Below are 20,275 nucleotides of genomic sequence, written 5' to 3' on the forward strand. Positions count from 1 at the left end.
GAGGTCAGGAGTTCAAGACCAGCCTGGCCAACATGGCGAAATCCCATCTCTACTAAAAAGACAAAAAGTAGCCAGGCATAGTGGAGCACACCTGTAGTCCCAACTACTCGGGAGGCTGAGGCAGGAAAATAGCTCGAACCCAGGAAGTGGAGGCTGCAGTGAGTTGAGAGTGTGCCCCTGCACTCCAGCCTGGATGACAGAGCAAAACTTTGTCTCAAAAAAAAAAAAAAAAATTGGAGTAGAATCTTTGTCTTTTGTTAAACAAAAGTTTGTAAGACATTTGGCAAATTATTTAGGTAGTTTCAATATAAAAGATATTATTCCAAGCAATTAAATAATCCTCAAAAGAATTCCAAACTTTCAAAAACCATCAAAAATAAACCTTTACCAATATAGCACACTTTTTTTTTCTTTTTTAACTAAGAAAACTCACTTAAGTTTCATTCAAAGATCATATGGACCTGAAAACTCTTAACTTACTTCTCTCTCCACAGAACTGGTTCAATAATTCATCTTAGACTCTACCAGACTTTGGAAATGTGCTATGAAGCGATAACTTTTATTTTCTCTTAAATGGAATTTTTCCAAGGCTAAATTAGTAAATCTTACAGTTTCTTCATTATCTAAATAATTCCTGCCAGTCAGGCAGCCTTATTCTCTAATGTTCTCAGCAGGCATATATAAAAGTTTCTAAACTGCCTTTTACTGAAGACATGCCCTCTGAAAAGCATAAACAAAGAACTAGTAACATACTTCAGAATTTTTTTTAAACTAGAGAAAATTGACTTTTGTTAATTATTAGATAAGAATGAAAAACAATTTTGCCAATTTATATTCAAATTTTAAATTATATATGTATTTTTAGCATCAAAGTGGGTCGTAAAATTATGTCCTTGAGTGGAAATTCTCTAGGAAAACACAATAATTCGTTTTAGATGCTTTTAACTCCAAAATACTTAAATAAGCAGTTTAGTATGCAAAAGGAAAATAGATAACATTAAACGCATTATTTCAGTCAATTTATCACTTTTTAAAAATTAAATATACAAAGCAAAGTTTGTTCATTAACAAAAAAGATGAGAATCTTCTTGAACTTCGACACTTCAACAACTGAAAAGCCCATCCAGCCCCACAATTTCAGTAACTATTCATATGGTAACGACACACAACTCTTCCTCTATCTTAAGCCCAGACCTCTCTGTTGGAGCTCCAGTCCTGTTTACCTTCTGAATGCTTGACACCTCAGATAACTCATCTCTCCTAATCCTCACACCCCAATTCTTCCCCTCTGCTCCGTATCATGGAAGACATAAAAGTGACTGCCATCCACTCAAAAACTTGAGACTCTCCCCAGATAATTTTCTCTCACACCTCCCAAATCTTTAAATCTTCTTGAAATCTCTTCAGATCTATCCTTTCCTCTTCTTGCTTACTCCACTCCCTTTTCCTTACTTTCATTCCTCATCTAAACTCCCATAATAACCTCCTATATGTCCTTCTATTCTCCCACTATCACCTGAAATAAAGTCATCTGCCTAGCCCCAAAGAAATGTGAGTTTGAGATTCTTGGCTCCTTAGAACTTCTGCTTTCCTTATGACAAACAAGAAACATCAATATCTGGTTCCTACCTAGCTCTTCAGCCTTATTTCTGTTACTCACTCCTCAGTGTCCATATATTTTAAAAATAACTTTCTAGTTCCCTGAGTGCTGATTCACATTTCATGTATTTGTCTACATACAGAAATCACTTCCAGTTTGGCCAGAAAATATACAGAAATCACTTCCAGTTTGGCCAGAAAATTCAGGGTTAAAGAAAAAAAAAAGACATCACTTCCACCTTTACTATGTTTGGCAAACTTCTATTTATTCTTTGAATCTTCAGAGTGCAAATGGCTTGCTTTCTTGTGTTACCTCAGGATCTTTGTAATGTTTTTACAGCTAAAAATGTATTTGGTTACTCTGGGTTTTTCTGTTTTTTTTTTTTTTTTTTTTTTTTTTTGAGATGGAGTTTCGCTCTTGTTGCCCAGGCTGGAGTGCAATGGTGAGATTTCAGCTCACTGCAACCTCTGCCTCCCGGATTCAAGCTATTCTCCTGCTTCAGCCTCCCGAGTAGCTGGGAATACAGGTGCCCACTACCGTGCCTGCTAATTTTTGTATTTTTAGTAGAGACAGGTTTTCACCATGTTGGCCAGGCTGGTCTCGAACTCCTGACCTCAGGTGATCTGCCCACCTCAGCCTCCCAAAGTGCTGGGATTACAGACGTGAGCCATCACGCCTGGCCTATTTGGTTACTCTTAAGTTTGAAGGAAATGATGTCTCATTCAGCTGTGTATACTTACCAGCCCCTGTCCCCCAACCACCCTGTTTCTTTTTCAGACAGGATCCTGCTTTGTCACGCAGGCTGGAGTGCGGTGGCATGATCACAGGCTCAAGCCATCTTCCCACCTCAACCTTATAAGTAGCTGGGACTACAGGTACATACCAACATGCTTGGCTATTTGTTTCTGAATTTTTTTTTGTAGAGACAGGGTCTCGCCATGTTGCCCAGGCTGGTCTTGGACTCCTGGACTCAAGCAATCCTCCTGCCTCAGCCTCCCAAAGTGCTGGGATTACAGGCATGAGCCACTGCGCCCAGCCATCCCTTAGCACAATATCCATAGCAGTAACCTGTACATGGTTTTAACAAACGAATGCTGAATGTAAACTGATCTGGAACTGAGATAAAGGCTGAAGTCACAGGTAAAACCGTCATGCTCCTAAAGATCTGTATTTGGTTAAACATTTGAATATTTACTCACTGCCAAATTGGGCTGAGGATTGAAAAAAAAATGAGCCTGTATTTGCAAAAAACCCTTTCTTTTGATGAGGCGAACAATTAGCAGATATATGCATGTGACAAACTACTATTTTTCCATCACCACCTCTATCTTATTTAAGACTACCTTTGATACACGAAATCATAGGCAATCTATTTTTACAATTCAAAAGCAGAGACAAATACAAATTTTACCTAAGATCAGGTTCTGAAGCATAAAGTTAAATATTGTTTTTCAATAGAATATTTTAGAACGGATATTACACTTTTGCATAATCTAATTTAAAAATATAATATCTTGGCTGGGCGCGGTGGCTCACGGCTGTAATCCCAGCACTTTGGGAGGCCGAGGCGAGCAGATCACGAGGTCAGGAGTTCAAGACCAGCCTGACCAACATGGTGAAACCCTGTCTCTACTAAAAATACAAAAAAAAATTAGCCAGGAGTGGTGGCGCACACCTGTAATCCCAGCTACTCAGGAGGCTGAGGCAGGAGAATCGCTTGAACCCGGGAGGCAGAGGTTGCAATGAGCCGAAATCATGTCATTGTATTCCAGCCTGGGTGACAGAGGAAGACTCTGTCTCAAAAAAAAAAAAAAAAAAAAGGTGAAAAGAAAATTAATTTTTGCAGTGAAAATGAAGATTCTTCAAAACTTCACAGTTAGAAGAAAATAGCTATAAAGATAACCTTGAATAATCATCCTTGAATGATTCACACCATGACATTTGGCAGGATTATTCAGGAAGTAGACACTGGCTTTTAGAAGACACTAATAAATTCTGTTAAAAACTAACACTAAATAGTGATGAATCCATCGTCATGTATGTTAAGGGGAAAAAAAGGAAGAACTAAAATTATCTTAAAGTGGTTTTAAAAATAGCTTAGATATACAGTATCCGAACTCTTGTCAGCTTCCTCCCACAAGTTTTCTTTTCAATAATGGTGACTACTTCCTGCTTTTATTATATACCAACAACAATACTGATGAATAATTTATAAAACATGTACATAAAAATATTAATGTCCTAGAAATAAGAAGCAAGAAATATTAATCTAGGAGGAGGGCTACTGTGATGTTTACTATGGCACAGAATAGCTATTTACTAAATGATCTGCTTCAAGAGCTATTCCAAATCAATATTTGGTATTACCTGAAATATCCTTGGAATTCCTCCAGTATTGTAGTGAACTACTAGGCTGACTTTATTCTCTTTTTCTACAATTTCAAAGGATCCTTCTTTCCACTTTGTAATCCCAGTCTGCATACTTCGAATTCTGATAGGACCATGTATCTTCAGAGGAGACATATTTTCTTTAAAAATTGCTTCTGGCTAAATTAAAAAGCAAAAATATACCTTTACCTGGCAGGTTCTAAGGAAGAAAAATAAGATAAGTTATAACTTACTAGTAATTAATTTCTAACCACCATGCATTTCTTCTGCGCCTTCATTTTCCCTTCTTTGCCATGTGTCCAGTACTGTATTTATTAGTGCCTAAATTCTACATTTTGTATCATTCACAACCATACTGCTACCGCTAAAGACATGTCAACAGGAATAAGATCCCATTCTCAAAGTGATTGCCTTCACCATTAAAGTGTTGATTATTCTCTTCCTTCATGAAAGCTAATGGGTCTGGATTTCCAAATATAAGTTAAAAAAAAAAAAAAAGTGTGTTCAGGCCAGGCATGGTGGCTCAGCCTGTAATCCCAAAACTTTGAGAAGTTGAGGTGGGAGGACTGCTTAAGCCTGGGAATTTGAGACCAGCCTGGGCAACACAGGGAGGCTCTATCGCTACAAAAAAACTGAAAAAACATTAGCCAGGCATGGTGATACACGCCTATAGTCTCAGCTTCTAGAGGGGCTGAAGTGGGAGGATCACTTGAGCACAGGAGGTCAAGGCTGCAGTGAGCCATGACTACCCACTGCACTCCCGCCTGGGCAATAGAGTGAAGACACTGTCTCAAAACAAAACAAAACAATACAAAATTCAGGCCTCTGACTCCATTTCTTAGAATGGAGTTCCTCCCAAAACATCAAAGTATATCACCAAATGCTTCCTTCTAACAGTGAGCAATCTAAGCATATCCGTATGTACAGAAGACATTAAATGAGTAAAAAATTTTAAAAATAACCAAGTTATTTGACCTCCAGAATTACAATATTTGAGGAAATCATTTAATCTCTAGAGAAAACAAACAAAAAACCTCTCTTCCAAAGAACCACCTACCATTTATATTTAAACTACCATTCCTAGAAAGAATCTTTACCAATTTTATCTTTAACAAATACTCAAGTTTCCTGAATGAACTTTTAATACTCAAAAATGGCTGGGTGCTTGTCAGGCAATATTTGAAAACTAAAAAGAAAAAATGGCCGGACACAGTGGCTCATGCCTGTAATCCCAGCACTTTGGAAGGATGAGGTGGGCAGACTGCTTGAGCAACACGGCAAAAACCTCATCTCTACAAAAAATACCAAAAAATTAGCCTGGCATGGTCATGTGCTCCTGTAGCTCCAACTACTCCAGAGGCTGAGATGGGAGGATCACCTGAGCCAGGGAGGTCGAGGCTGCAGTGAGCCATGATTGCACCACTCAATTCCAGCCTAGGTGACACTCTGAGTGAGACCCTGTCTCAAAACAAACAAACAAAAAAAAAACACAAAAAACTTAAACTTACAGCAATAATCGGATGTGTAAAACTCTTCAAATTAGCTTTTGCAAAAGTCAACAAGTAAATAAAATTACAGTTATAGCAAAGAATGTTATCAAATAGTGTGTTACATACATAAATATGCAATCATTTAAAATTGCGAACTCAAATTTTATACTATTTCAAACCTTTAAAAACACTACTTCTAAAGTGGATTCTTGCTTATAATTTACTAAATTAAACACAATTAAACATTACCTTTGCCTAAACAGCTCAACAAGAAAAGCCAGAAAGGCTAGTATATAAAGGAAAATGATGCTAGGTCTAGAAATCAGCAGCCAGCCAGCCCTATCACTTACTAATTTGTAACTTACCTTCTTTAACCATAAGTTTTCTCAACCACAAAATAGGAATAGCAAATGTTTTAGTGTTGTAGAATGAAATAATACATACTAGGCACTCAGCAGACAGCAGTAATTAATATTAATGGAATTAATGTCTGTTTTCTGAATTTATTCCATGTCCATAATACCTCTTTCTCCAAAGACCTCAATAAATACAATGTTAACAGGAGTCACTAACTCAACTATCTATAGGGGCTAGCAGGTGACAGAAATGACTTAAGCAGGCAAAATTTGAACAATTGCTACCCAATCTAGCCAATTATTACCATGTAGAAATAGCGAACCTAGCATTGCCAGACCATCTAACTTTTCAAGAAAATAAAGACATCCAAACGTTTATGTAAAACTGTCCATTTTTAATTGTTGGCAATGAATTCAAATTTATTTTTAACAGCTACAAATCAAACAAAACTCACCTACAGGCAGGATACAGTTTGGGGGCCCCTAGTTGGAGGTCTCTGGTTACTGTATGGCAAATAACTGAAGATAAAAGAAGATATATGAAAACACTTTCGAGAGTTTAAAGGTGTTAAGTATCATAAGTACTCTATTATTATTCACTCATCTCATCAAAAATTTTTAAGTGCTTACTATGGGCAGATTTAGATATTAGTATAATGTGCTGGGTAATATGAATTCGTCAAAGTAATAGAGTCCATTAATGTTTATAGAACTGTCTGTTAACATGACATTTGGCTCAAACTAGTAATGCTACAGAGCTACAGAAACTTGAGCCAGCAATGTATATCTGTAATACTTTTTTCTGCAATTATAATTTGTGACTTTATTGTTGGATACATCCTTGAGACTTTTTTCCACTCCGCCACTCAGTGCTACAAAGAATACATCACTCTTCTACTCCAGTTTCCCATGCCAGAAACAGAAGACTTGTCTTTGGCTTCCTTCTTGATAATTATTGGTATTAGATTAGAGATGGAAAGTCAGGAGAATCCCATCAATTCTGCCTCCACAGATCGGGAGCTGTGGCTGATGCCTGTAATCCCAGCACTTTGCGAGGCCGAGGTGGGCAGATCACCTGAGGTCAGGAGTTTGAGACCAGCCTGGCCAACATGGTGAAACCCCATCTCTACCAAAAATACAAAAATTAGCCAGGTGTGGTGGCGTGCGCCTGTAATTCCAGCTACTTGGGAGGCTGAGGCAAGAGAATCGCTGGAATCCGGGAGGCAGAGGCTGCAGTGAGCCGAGATCATACCACTGCACTCCAGCCTGGAGCCAGACTCTGTCTCAGAAAAAAAAAAAAAAAAATTCTACCTCCATACACCTTTCAGACAGCCTTATAATGAACTGCAGATCAAATCATATCCCTCTCTTGCTTTATATCATTCAATAGCTCTCCACTTGTTCTCGCAATAAAATCTAAACTCACTAATGTGACGTAGAGGCCCTTCAGGACTCAGGCCCTGCTTACCTGTCTATTCCCAATAAAACCCCCAAATCCTTCTGAATTACTTATAATTTCCTCAAAAATCTCTATGTTCTCATGCCACTATACCTTTGCATACACAGAGGTCATGTCTAGAGGATTTTTATGTGTTCTCCCCATCCCCAACCCTCCTTAATTTCTTCTCCTGGCTCTAAAATCAAGACTCAATTTACACATTACCCTCTTTAAAAAGCTTTATATAAAAGATGTAGGACATAAAATTGGCAGAACCAATATAATAAACTTTTTCATAATGCCTCAATTTAGTTCATTACCTGCTTTTGCACTAAATGAATTGACAGCTACATTTGCTCATTCATTATATTATCAGGGCTTGCTCTACTTGGTTAAGAGTAAAAAACTAAGTTTCTTTTTCAGCATGAAGCATGATCCAGTAACAGTTAAACTTCCTATGAACCTAAGACAAAGACAGGGTTTCCTTAAACTCGGTAATGGTAATTGTCTTATTAAAGCAAAAAAATAAGAAGACAAAAGATAATTAAAATGAATTATTCTTTAAATATGTCCAGAGATTCTTTCTCTAAATTTCTTCACAATTATTAAAATTACTGTTCAACTTTGAGCATCACCATGAATGCTCAAAGCAACAATATTAGCAAAAATGTTTCTATGCCCTGTACATTTATTTAAGTGCTCACATTTTAGGTACTGCTTTGAAAACATCCTTAATCAGAGAGCATTCAGTGGTAAATAAAGTATGGCCAAAACACAAAAACTATTACTACAAAACAAACACAAAACTGTCAGTTCCCGCCAGATTGCATGCTCTTTGAAACATATATCCAAAACAAAAACATTACTTACTTTTCAGTGACTTTTACCGAAAAACCCTATGTAATAGCAATTCACCTTTATTCTGATCCTTGTGCCAAAGGCAAAGCACTCTTCTTGGGACACTACTCATATTCTGCAGCTATGCCAGTTCTCCGGAAGCCATCAACTCAGCTAAAGAAAATAAAAATGTGCTTTTTAAAAAGAACCCAATATACAAAATTAATACTTAAAAGAAAGTGGGCTGGGCACGGTGGCTGACGCGAGTAATCCCAGCACTTTGAGAGGTGGAGGCGGGCAGATAACCTGAGGTCAGGAGTTCGAGACCAGCCTGACCAACATGGAGAAACCCCGTCTCTACTAAAAATACAAAATTAGCTGGGCGTGGCAGTGCATGTCTGTAATCCCAGCTACTCGGGAGGCTGAGGCAGGAGAATTGCTTGAACCCAGGAGGTGGAGGTTGCAGTGAGCAGAGATCACGCCATTGCACTCCAACCTGGGCAACAAGAGCAAAACTCCATCTCAAAAAAAAAAAAAAAGGAAAGTGATCGTTTATACAACAAAGATTAACTTCTTGGTTATTTAAAAACTACAGATTACCTTAATGAAAATATTTAAAATATGATGCACAACACACAGAGACACACATAAAAGATCAACAGAACTTTAGGAACTTATCTGCTGTGCATAATGAGGGATTACAGGATGAGCCTGCACCTTGTTCAACTTGTACCTTGGTTTATTCATTCTTGCTACATTTTGAAACTAAGAAGTCAGTGAGAAAGAATATGTCCTTTGTTCACTTTATAAACATTGTTACATAATAATGTCTTAAGTCTTAAAACTTCCATAACATGTTGATACTATTTCAAAAGGTGGGTAAACTTGGTGCTTTCACTTTTCTTTCAAAGCTAACATTGTTTCTCAAATTAGGCTTCACTAGGCCTGAACTTTCTCTGAAGTTCTACCCGCACATCTCTCACTGCCTATCTGAATGCTACAACATCAACTTTAAACTCCTTTGTTCATTTAGTAAACAACATTTATTAAGCTACTGCACTTTCAAGGCACCCTGGTAGGCATATAGATGTGAAGATGATACAGTCCATGCCCTCATTAAGAAGCTCCTAGAGGCCAGGCACGGTGGCTCACACCTGTAATCCCAGCACTTTGGGAGGCAGAGACAGGCAGATCACCTGAGGTCAGGAGTTCGAGACCAGCCTGGCCAATGTGGTCTCGAACACATTGAGACCACAATGTGTTCTCACTAAAAATACAAAATTTAGCTGGGTGTGGTGGCACACACCTGTAGTTCCAGCTACTTGGAAGGCTGAGGCAGGAGAGTCATTTGAACCTGGGAGGCAAAGGTTGCAGGGAGCAGAGATCACACCACTACACTCCAGCCTGGGTGAGGGAGCAAGACTCCGTCTCAAAAGAAAGAAAAAAAAAGAAGCTCCCAGACTTCCCTACTTTTGTCCTTCTACCATCATTCAGGCAAGAAATCTTGGCATCAGCTTTATCCTCACTCTTATCTACTCAAATCCCAGATTTTCAATAGCTACTACTCTCAGAAACTCATCACTATGCCATCATCCCACCTAGTATTTATTATGCAACCCAACATTTATTATGCAACATTTACTAAGCAGTGCTAAATGCCATACATGCATTATCTCAATTTAATTTTTAAAATAATCCTAAGTGATAGGGATATTATCTCTATTTCACAGATGAGGAAACTGAGGTTTAGAGACATTACATAATTTATAAATACAGTCAGTGAGAAACAAAGCTATGTCTAATGCCAGAACCTACATTTTTAACTACAACCACAGTTCATCCTCATCAATGAATTATGGCAACCCCTTCCCTTTCCAGTCTCAGCTCTTGGGGTTTTACCTCCAACAAATCCTTTACATTGTAACATCCTTTCTAAAGAACTACTCTTTTTACCACTTTTCAACTGAACTATGCACTAGGTATCTTCTTAACTTTCTCCCTAAGGTGGGAGTGGGGGGTAGAGGTGGGGCACGGGACAGGGAGGTAACACACAGAACTTGGGTACTCTAACTGTATACTCCAACAAAATAACAAACACTTGTTAAGTGCTAAATGGTTGCCATTGATGCTAGGACCTTCCCAAACTAAATAGCTCATCACTACCTAGAAAATAAAATAAATCCAAATGCTTGTGTTTGGTATTCATACACCTCCATTTTAAATTCCCTATTTTTCAACACGAATCCTGTTCTACACATACAAAAATTATTATATTTTAATATTTTCTTTCTTTTTCATTTGAGACAGAACCTCATTCTGTCACCCAGACTGGAACACAGTGGTGCCATCTTGGCTCACTGCAACCTCCACCTCCTAGGCTGAAGCAATCCTCCCACCTCAGCCTCCCAAGTAGCTAGGACTACAGGCACATGCCACCAAACCCGGCTAATTTTTGTAATTTTTTATAGACATGGGGTTTTGCCATGTTGCCCAGGCTGGTATCGAACTCCGGGGCTCAAGCGATCCGCCCACCTTGGTCTCCCGCAATGCTGGGATTACTGGCATGAGCCAATGCAGCTGGCCATATATTAATATTTTCTTTGTCATTCACCAACAACTGACTTAAATATGGAATTTTGCTTTATTTATGGAAATCTCATCTTCACTGGTCTTAAAGATTAACCGGTTGTTAAAATATACAAACCACTACTCTGATTTTTGAAGGCTTTCTTTCCTTTAAAAAGACCTATAAAACAAATGGACAAAGGAGAAAAAATTAGTTTTGTTACTGAAAGTGGAAAGCTGACCTAAAGTTTATCTCCAATTCAAAGAGTTTAAAATCTGAATGGTTTTATGATATAAAAATGGGTAAAAGAATCCAAAGTTGGAAAACGTTTTGTTTTTTCTCATGTGTCCTCTAACTTTTCAGAATGAAAAGTGTTTGTCATGAGATGATGACAAGAACATCAGCAAGCTTTGCTTCCAAAAGACATGATGGTTCTTACAGCAACTTCCAGCTTATTTAACAAATTATTGGGAAATAAAAAAGAAGTGGTCACTAGCCTATATTCTAATAGGAGACAGACTTTAAATAATCACACATGTAAATATATAATTACAAGTTCTGGGCTGGGTGCAGTGGCTCACACCTGTAATCCCAGCACTTTGGGAGGCCGAGGCAGGTGGATCATCTGAGGTCAAGAGTTCAAGACCAGCCTGGCCAACATGGTGAAACCTTGTCTCCATTAGAAATACAAAAATTAGCCGGGCATGGTGGCGGGTGCCTGTAATCCCAGGTACTTGGGAGGCTGAGACAAGAGAATCGCTTGAATTTAGGGGGCGGAGGTTGCAGTGAGCTGAGATCATGCCATTGTACTCCAGCTTAGGCAACAGAGCAAAAACTCCATCTCAAAAAATAATAATAACAATAATTACAAGTTCTGAGAAATGATATAAAGCAAGATACATGGAATGATGAGTCTTAAGATTAAGACTTGGGGTAGAGGATAACATTGAGAAGGCTTCCCTGAGAAGGTATCACTTAAGTTGAAAACTGCAGAAGGAGATGACTGATAGATGGTGGTGCTGGAACAATCCAGGCAAACAGCATCCCCAAAGGCCTTGAATTGTAAAATAACTTGATATGACTAGGGAAATTAAAAGCAATGTGGCTACAGTTTAGTGAAGGAGAGGAGGAAGATGAAGTTAGTGAAGCAGGCAAGAACCAGGTTATGCAGTCTTGTGAACCACAGTAAAGATTCCGAATTTTATCCTAAATGTAACAAGCACTTACCAGGAGGAAATCCACCAAAAGGTTTTAAGCAAAGAAATATGTTACTACTGAATGAGGAAGTCATATATGGTTGGTTTGGGTTTTGGGAGAGTGACTAAGAGCAAGAACAGAAGAAAATAATGTAACCAGATAGAAGAGTATTGAGTTGATCAGCTTATAACAATAACAATTAATGCTTACTGGCCATTTACTCTGTGCCAAGTGCTTATCATGGTTATCTCACTTAATCCTCATAACAATCCAATAGGCTGAAAATTACTATTTCCATTTTACAGATGATAATACAGGAAGCCAAGGCAATCAAGTCCAGGTTTTTTAAGGACTGTGGCTTAAACTAGAAAAGTGACAGTGAAAATGTACAGAAAAAGATGCAAGACACGTATTGGAAGTAGGATAGAACTTGGAGAGAGTAGAAGTCAAGAATGCCTCCCAAGTGTGTAGCCTGTGTCATGTGCCACTTAATAAACTGGGACACTGGAGAAGAAAGAATTTCGATATGGAGAGAAAGATCAAGGCTTTGGATTTGGCTGTGTTGCATCTGAAACTCCTAAGAAAAAAATCAAGTTGAGATGTCAAGCAGACAGCTGGCTATCTAGATGTGGAGCTGAAAACAAAGGGAATAGGCTGGAAATAACAATTTTTAAGTCATCAATATATAGATCAAATTTAAAGCTTAGGGAGGAATATAAGAGTAAAAGAAGAGGACCTAGGACTGAACCCAAATACTCATTTTACTTCATCAAACATCTTTAAGACAAGTGAGTACTTTTATATCACTGGGTTTTTCAGTCCTCCTTCCATTTTACCTTTCAGCAGAATGCAACACTACTGATGACTTTTTTCATGGCTTGCAAGACGCATCCTCCTCTATTGGTTATTAAACAGCAGGAATTCGTCAATGCTCCATCCTAGGTGCCTTTATTTTACAGCACTATACTCTTTTTCGGCAATTTCATCCACATCCATGGCTTCAATTACTATCAATATGGCAGATGACAAACACATACACACACCGCGCACATTTACGTACGCAGCCCAGAACTCTCCTAAGATCTCCAAACCCACTATATCCAACTGCCTACTTGACATTCCCTCTCAGGTATCTCTTCCAGTTAGACACTTGTCAGGAATTGCCACCTCAATAAAGGAATTTATACAGAGCTGAAATTTTGAGAGGAATACCCCAAAACCACTTTAGGACAACTCTTCAGGACACAGGATTTTATCATCAATCATCATTTCCTTTCATGGATCATGACTTAAAATAGTTACATCTAACAACCTGATCTGGCGGCTAGAAATGGGCGCAAGGAAATGCACAACAAAAATACAATTCATGTTTTGCAGTGAGGACTGGTCAAGAGGAAGGTGAAGATGGTCAAGAGAGTGAATGAGTATCATGTCCAAGGCCTGGTGGATGTGCCGTAACGAAAGTCACCTGAAGAGACAGCAGGCCCTGTTAGAAGGTAAGAGGCGAACGACAACAGCCCCAGAGAAAAGGGGCCAGGTTTGAGTTTCGGAGGGAGCGAGTGGCAGTGGAGACCAAGTCAAAGGAGAGGTGGAAGCCGGGGCAGTGCACCCAAAGGTAGTACCTGTGAGGCTGGGGGTGCATCGAGGGGTTGTGGGCGGGCTGAGTAGCAGCAGGGCGAACTCCAGAGGAGTGAACGCCGAGTGGGCGGATCGCACAGAAGGAGGAGGAGGTAGGGAAAACGGCTCAATTGAGAAGCTACCCCGGCCCGCCTTACCTGCGCCGAGGGTCCGGAGCCCCCGGACAGACCCGCGGAAAGCACGGAGCCCGCGAGGAGTGGGAGGAGCCGAGGGTAATGGAAGTAGGGATACCGAACCCAAAGGAGGGAGGCCGCTAGCTACCCCTAGTCAGGGAGAGCGGCTGATGGCGGGAACTGTGACCACACGCAAACACGCACGCACGCACGCACACTCGACGCGACCAGACAGGCGCGTGCGCGTCAGTCGAAAACTCCGCCCCTCACACGCCCTCGCCCCGCCCCGCCAGTACCTAGAGCGGCCTAGCCCGGGCAGCCCCGCCCCTGCCGTGACTGTAGTAGGCACGCGCACTTTCCACCTCACCCGATTTCGACGCCCCCCCACCATTTCCCTCCTACGCAACCCAGTCGGGCATGCGCAATAGTTGTCTTGCCGGGACTGTCCATCTTTTCCCGCCGTTCACTGGCTTTTGGAGGAGGGTCAGAGTTCACGCCGCTCTCTGGAAATAACTGCTCAAAGCCAGAAGTTGCGGGGACTAGTGGTCGCGGACGTCCTTCCGGTCCTAAATCTTAAGGGGCAAAGGACATACTCTGGGACTGTTAACTAGGCCCTGGAGGCGGGAAGAGGATGTGTGGGTGGGGTCAGGGGTGAGAGGTCAGAGGGCCGCGAAGTGGGCGGAGCGAGCCGGAGTCGGATGGCGGCTACGGCGGCTCATTGTTTTCCGCTGCAGGGGTGCTGAAGGGGGGACGCGGGTCGGACGCGTCCGGCTGTGGAAGAGAGCGGCGGCCGCTCACAACATGCACAGCCTGGCGACGGCTGCGGTGAGTGGCTGGGCCCCCAGGCTTGGAACCAGAATCCTTTCTCAGACCCACGTTTCGGCCTTCTCTCCTAATTCCCGGTGTCGGGTCCCTAGTCTGATTTTTTTCTGCCCTCAATCTCCAAGGCCCCGGTTCCCCTCCTCGGCACGCTTTGGTTGTGGTGGAGCCGGCCCCTATTTCCTTGCCGGACGCCTCTCGCGGCCTTCAGCGCGACCCATCGCGTTCTTTGCGGGCGCCGGGGCCTGGTCCCACGCCCGTAGCAGGCCATTCATTGATTTATTGCGCTGACCAACAGTTTCAGGGCGCCAGTTGTGTTCTGGGCGCCGGCGTCGATGAGGGGAATTCCATGGTCAATCTGACGCGGCCCCTGCTCTTAGAACTCACCACGTCGCAGCGGGAAGGAAATGGCTTCTAGTTCAAACCACTTGCTTTATTTATGGAAAACCTGAGGCCCGGAAAAGTGCATAATTTTTGCATCTGACTTAGGTTCTCTGCATTTAAAACTTTTCCTCGACACATCTCGTTTTACCCGCGTGATCTTTTAACAAAAAAGAAAGATAGTGTAATTCAGCTATCCGAAGTAATCCTACTTCTCTTGGCATTTAAATAAAATCTAGACTCCTTGCCATAGCCTGCACGGCCCTGTATGATGTGGTACTTAACCCACGTTTATAATCTCGTTTTATGTCTCTTGCTCCTAAAGCTTCAGCTACTCTGGCCACCTAACCCTCTGCAACGCGCTTATTTTTCTCCAAGATGCACTTTGTGGTCTCTATGCCTGGAGTGAATGTTCTTCTTATCCCTCCTCCTTTACATACACAGCATGAGTGTAATTGGTACCTCTTCCTTGAACTCTCCTTCCTCTCCTTAAACTGTTTATCCAAATCCATCTTTCTTCAGGTCTCTGCCTAAATCGGTCTCAGAGTGGCCTTCCCTGACTATCCTCTTCAAATTAGTTCCGCAGCCTCTAACTTTAGTAGAGTACCCTTTACAGCCCTGATCCCCGTGTAATTATTGTATTCGTTTATTTGTTGTCTGTCTCCTTGAGGGCAGGGACAGGGATCATGTGAGCCCTGTTGACGTGGTTTCCCCGGTGCCAGGACAGTTCCTAGTACAAGATTAAAGACTCAGATACTTTGCTGCATGAAAGAATATTGAAGGGAAGGTGACCACTGAAAGAACATTGCCATGATGGGGAAAGGAGATCATTTGATTTGAGCATACCTGCCTGAAGACCAATTCTGCTTTTTCTGTTTAACCAAAGGGAAATGATTTAAGGAAAGTAATGTACTGAAATTGTATTATCAGGCAAAATGACGTAATTACTAAATAAAGCACCAAAAATTGCCATACGTTTAAGTACAAAAAGTGAAAAATTGAGCCAAGTATGACTAAGCTATAGAAAACTGCTTTTTGAGATTTGATCTCCATTGTCAGTTCCAGTGCTGTTGGTATCTCTGCCTCCTTTCATACTGTTTCTAAGTGTTTGTAACTATTCAATGTAGAGAGTATCTTTTATATCTCAATTAGGTCATTGCAATTCCCCTAGCTTTTTTGTTCCTTCTCCCAAATTATATATGTAACGTGGGGAAAAGCAAGTTGAAAGATGAGTGTGCTGCTATTAGGGGAAAGACAGGTTAAATAAGGGAAATTATTCTAAGGTTGACTTGTCCATCTCTCAAAATCTGATTGTGTCTTCTCCCGAATTTTATCTTCGATACTGAGCCACTCTTTTCCCTGTGCCTTCCCAAACTCTGTAGCTATTCCTTTTATTTTCAATTGCTCCCTAATGCATCTTTTAAACAACCATTAAAGCTGTGGTACATTACTTATAATAAGTACTCAATACATGTTTCTTCACGTTTTCAGTGCCTTACATTAATTTTAAAATTTGAACTTTTAGATGCACTTTCACTTAGGATGTTTGGACCTCGTAGCAGCTCTGACAAATTCCTTCGTACCACTCATTCACTAGGTTATATTTAGCTAGTGAGGAAACTAAAACGTAAAAAGTTGAGCCACCTCATTCTCAATTCTTCATGCCTTCCGTTGGAGCAAACTGCATTATTCTGATGTGGGTAAAGGGACAGTAATGATGCATATCACTCACTGGAATTTGAGAAGCATAATTAATGCATGCAACCGTGCCCAGAATAATCAAAGCCACTTGAGAAGATGCTTACTTTCTGCCGAACAATGAAAGTGTGTATCTGTGACTTTATTTATCTCTTTTTTAAAATAGTAGGTAAATCATCATTTCAGCTAGGGAGATAACAAAGTACTGCCAAATGAGAATGTAAGCCGGGTGGTGTGTGCCCATAGTCCCAGCTACTTGGGAGGCTAAGGAGGGAGGACACTTCACCCCAGGAGTTCCAGGCTACTGTGTGCTATGAAGGCACCTGTGAATGGCCACTGGACTCCAGCTTGAGCAACATAGCAAGACTTTGTCTATTAAGAGAGAGAGAGAATGTAGTCACATGTAAATGCAGGATATTATTCACTAGAAGGAAAAATTAAGATAGTATGGGAAGTATCTTAAATTTTGACTCTTGAGTAGTCGTATGCTAGAAATGTTTAGTGTAGTAGGCTTTTGTGATTCTTTTTTTTTTTTTTGAGATAGAGTTTTGCTCTTGTTGCCCAGGCTGGTGTGCAATAGCGAGATCTCAGCTCACAGCAATCTCCGCCTCCTGGGTTCAAGCAATTCTCCTGCCTCAACCTCCCAAGTAGCTGGGATTACAGGCATTAGCCACGACGCCTGGCTAATTTTTTTTTTTTTTTTTTGTATTTTTAGTAGAGATGGGGTTTCTTCATGTTGGTCAGCCTGGTCTCGAACTCCTGACCTCAGGTGATCTGCCCGCCTCAGCCCCCAAAGTGCTGGGATTACAGGCATGAGCCACTGCGCCCGACCTTGCTGTTGTCATTCTTGATGGAATACATCCTAACATCTTCATATATTCATTACCGCTACCATTGAGCATAATTTCTTTTTTCTCTCCTCTAATAAATAAGGACAGAAGTACCACACAGGATTATTCTAAAGATTAAGTAAGAATAACAAAATGCGGCCGGGTACTGTGGCTCATGCCTGTAATCCCAGCACTTTGGGAGGCCAAGGCGGATAGATCACCTGAGGTCAAGAGTTCCAGACCAGCCTGGCCAACGTGGTGAAACCTCATCTCTACTAAAAATACAAAAATTAGCTGGGCATGGTGGCAGGCGCCTGTAATCCCAGCTACTCAGGAGGCTGAGGCGGGAGAATCACTTGAACCCAGGATGTGGAGGTTGCAGTGAGCCAAAATCGTGCCATTGCACTTCAGCCTGGGAGACAAGAGCAAGACTCCATCTTTAAAAAAAAATGAAAGAAAGAATAACAAAATGCTCAGTGGTTGGCTAGATTCACTCACTGATATGTGACTTGTTCCCAGACTTCAGCTTTGGGAATTTAATTCCCAAATTAAAGGCTCACACACCTATAATCCCAGCACTTTGGGAGGCCAAGGCAGGAGGATCACTTGAGGCCGGGAGTTCAAGACCAGCCTTGGCAACACAGTAGGAACCTATCTCTACAAAAAATGTTTAAAAATTTTCCAGGCTGCAGTGAGCCATGATCATGCTACCGCACTTCAGCTTAGGCGACATAGTGAGACCCTGTCTCAAAGGAAAAAGAAAACTACAAATCTTTGCATGCCATAGGTATTCTGTAATGGATGTTATGCTTGTGAAACAACCGGAGGTAAGCCTTTAGGGGATGTGTTTTTGTTTTGTTTTGTTTTTAATTTCCCACTGATTTCCACTGACAATTCTAGCATCCCTAAACACTTGTCTTTCTCTCACTTTCCGCCTAACCAGCAGCATCATTAGTTATTTTACATCTTTTTATTGAAGCTGTCATGGACTGCCAGATGCCTTCCTTTTTGGCAAGTAGAAAGAACACTGCACTCTAAAGGATTTAATTCACTTTCTCCTCCCGAGTCTCCTGATGAAGCTTTAGGCAAATTGCCTAACTTATCTTTCCTTATTCACTTTCATTTTTTAAAAGTTATTTTGAAAAAATACATTCTGGGCCGGGCATGGTGGCTCATGCCTGTAATCCCAGCACTTTGGGAGGCTGAGGCAGGTGGATCATAAGGTCAGGAGTTCGAGACCAGCCTGGCCAACGTAGTGAAACCCCGTCTTTGCTAAAAATAGAAAAATTAGCCTGGCGTCATGGCATGCGCTTGTAATCCCAGCTACTTGGGAGGCTGAGGCAGGACAATCGCTTGAACCTGGGAGGCGCAGGTTATAGTGAGCTGAGATTGTGCCATTGCACTCGAGCCTGGGCAACAAGAGCGAAACTCCATCTTAAAAAAAAAAAAAAAAAAAAGATACATTCTGGCTCTTATAAAATTATGAAGGTAAGCTAATTTAGTACTTCCAGCACTATTAGAAAGTTCATTTTCTTGGAATACCATGCTGACACCCAAATCCACGTGTTGATCTCCAGACTTGGGAAAATAATCTCTATTTCAGTCTGATTCCATTCTTTATGTATTGGCAGGAAAATAAACAGCTATTTTGGCCCTTAAACATAAAGTTACATTGATAATTTGGCTATTTTCTGTTTAAGAAACCATCAGCATCAATTTTTTAGTTTACTCAGAGAAGGAAATCATTTTCTTTACCATTTATAGATAAATGTCATGTTTTATTTAAAATAATTTATAAACATCTTTATACTTTTCACATTATGTGTTAAAATCTTTCAGAAATAGAAGACCAACTTAAACTGTCAGTACCCTGTGTGACACTTGGAGTTAACCATTGGTAACTTACTTTGGTAAATACCTTATCTGTATGTTAAGCTTTCTTGGGGAAAAAAGGTGTCATTTGAAATACATTTTCCATATACAAATCATTAAACAGAAAAGGAGGGAGAGTTACCACCTAAATTTTGATAATATGAAAGTTTTTTAACACACTTATTAAAAGAACAGGACTGTTGACTTTATTTTTTTATTTTATTTTATGTTTTTGAGACAGGATCTCGCTTTGTTACCCAGGCTGGAGTGCAGTGGTGTGATCTTGGCTCACCGCAACCTCGACCTTCTGGGTTCAGTCGATTCTCCCACCTCAGCCTCTTGAGTAGCTGGGATTACAGGCAAACGACACCACACCAGGCTAATTTTTGTATTTTTAGTAGGGGCAGGGTTTCACTGTGTTGAAACTCCTGACCTCAAGTGATCCACCAGCCTCAGCCTCCCAAAGTGCTGGGATTACAGGTGTGAACCTGTCTCTGTGCCTGGCCAGGACTGTTGACTTTAGCAGGTTACAATTAATAATCTACGGTAATGTACTATAGAGCTTTTTTCTATTCTTGGAAGTGTTAAGGATAACTCATAATCTAAATCAGATTTCTCATGATGATTCTATGTGTCCAGGTATGTAATTGAGCTCACTGTGTATCCAAATCCAGCTGTTAATGAGTTCTGTGCTAAGGGAATATTAAATTTAAGAAAGTTTTTTTGGGTTCTTAAGAGTAATTTCTTCAACTTGGAGGAGTATTTGTGCTTTCTATCCTTGAGACCAGATAGAACTCATCGATTCTAGAGAGAAGTAGAGTTTCAGTCTCATTCTGCTGTACACTGGCTGTGTGACCTTGAGCACATTAAACCTCTATTAACCTGTTTCCTCTTAGAATTTTGAGAATAAAATGATGTAATCCACAGTGCCTGAAACATGGTATGCTCAATAAATATTACTGCATATTAATAATTTCTGGAAAAGGCAGACCTAATCTATAGTAGCAGAAAACACCCATGATTGCCTCAGGCTGAGTATGGGGTTTACTGAA

General features: G+C 40.7%; 2 protein-coding genes across 5 annotated transcripts in view, besides 5 other annotated features; one reads left to right on the forward strand and one right to left on the reverse strand.

Annotated features, from left to right (window-relative positions):
• USP37 (ubiquitin specific peptidase 37) overlaps positions 1-13,821 on the reverse strand; it is a 118,101-nt gene extending 104,280 nt beyond the window's left edge. Inside the window, exons 1-4 of the mRNA NM_020935.3 lie at positions 13,648-13,821; positions 8,143-8,283; positions 6,290-6,353; positions 3,968-4,147 (exon numbers count right to left, since the gene is read on the reverse strand). Of these exons, the coding sequence (NP_065986.3) occupies positions 3,968-4,123 (156 nt within the window). The 5' untranslated portion in view covers positions 4,124-4,147; positions 6,290-6,353; positions 8,143-8,283; positions 13,648-13,821. The remainder of the gene's footprint in view (positions 1-3,967; positions 4,148-6,289; positions 6,354-8,142; positions 8,284-13,647) is intronic.
• Positions 13,664-14,291: an enhancer, noted in NCBI's record as "NANOG-H3K27ac-H3K4me1 hESC enhancer chr2:219432917-219433544 (GRCh37/hg19 assembly coordinates)". NCBI's record gives its function as "activates a minimal SCP1, AML or CMV promoter by ChIP-STARR-seq in primed H9 embryonic stem cells {active_cell/tissue: H9 hESC(primed)}" and the evidence as "EXISTENCE:reporter gene assay evidence [ECO:0000049][PMID:30033119]".
• Positions 13,784-13,853: a silencer, noted in NCBI's record as "silent region_12322". NCBI's record gives its function as "represses an Ori minimal core promoter by ATAC-STARR-seq in GM12878 lymphoblastoid cells {active_cell/tissue: GM12878}" and the evidence as "EXISTENCE:reporter gene assay evidence [ECO:0000049][PMID:35858748]".
• Positions 13,944-14,003: a silencer, noted in NCBI's record as "silent region_12323". NCBI's record gives its function as "represses an Ori minimal core promoter by ATAC-STARR-seq in GM12878 lymphoblastoid cells {active_cell/tissue: GM12878}" and the evidence as "EXISTENCE:reporter gene assay evidence [ECO:0000049][PMID:35858748]".
• Positions 14,292-14,919: an enhancer, noted in NCBI's record as "OCT4-NANOG-H3K27ac-H3K4me1 hESC enhancer chr2:219433545-219434172 (GRCh37/hg19 assembly coordinates)". NCBI's record gives its function as "activates a minimal SCP1, AML or CMV promoter by ChIP-STARR-seq in primed H9 embryonic stem cells {active_cell/tissue: H9 hESC(primed)}" and the evidence as "EXISTENCE:reporter gene assay evidence [ECO:0000049][PMID:30033119]".
• Positions 14,309-20,275, forward strand: part of CNOT9 (CCR4-NOT transcription complex subunit 9) — a 28,242-nt gene continuing 22,275 nt past the window's right edge. For all 4 annotated transcript variants that reach the window (NR_073390.2, NM_001271634.2, NM_005444.3 and 1 more), the window contains exon 1: positions 14,309-14,448. Coding sequence is in view for 3 of the 4 variants with exons in the window: in NM_001271634.2 (NP_001258563.1) it covers positions 14,425-14,448 (24 nt within the window). In the remaining variant the exon portion in view is untranslated. The remainder of the gene's footprint in view (positions 14,449-20,275) is intronic.
• Positions 14,714-14,903: an enhancer, noted in NCBI's record as "active region_17125". NCBI's record gives its function as "activates an Ori minimal core promoter by ATAC-STARR-seq in GM12878 lymphoblastoid cells {active_cell/tissue: GM12878}" and the evidence as "EXISTENCE:reporter gene assay evidence [ECO:0000049][PMID:35858748]".

This window comes from Homo sapiens, chromosome 2 (genome assembly GCF_000001405.40).
Source record: "Homo sapiens chromosome 2, GRCh38.p14 Primary Assembly".
NCBI lineage: Eukaryota > Metazoa > Chordata > Mammalia > Primates > Hominidae > Homo > Homo sapiens.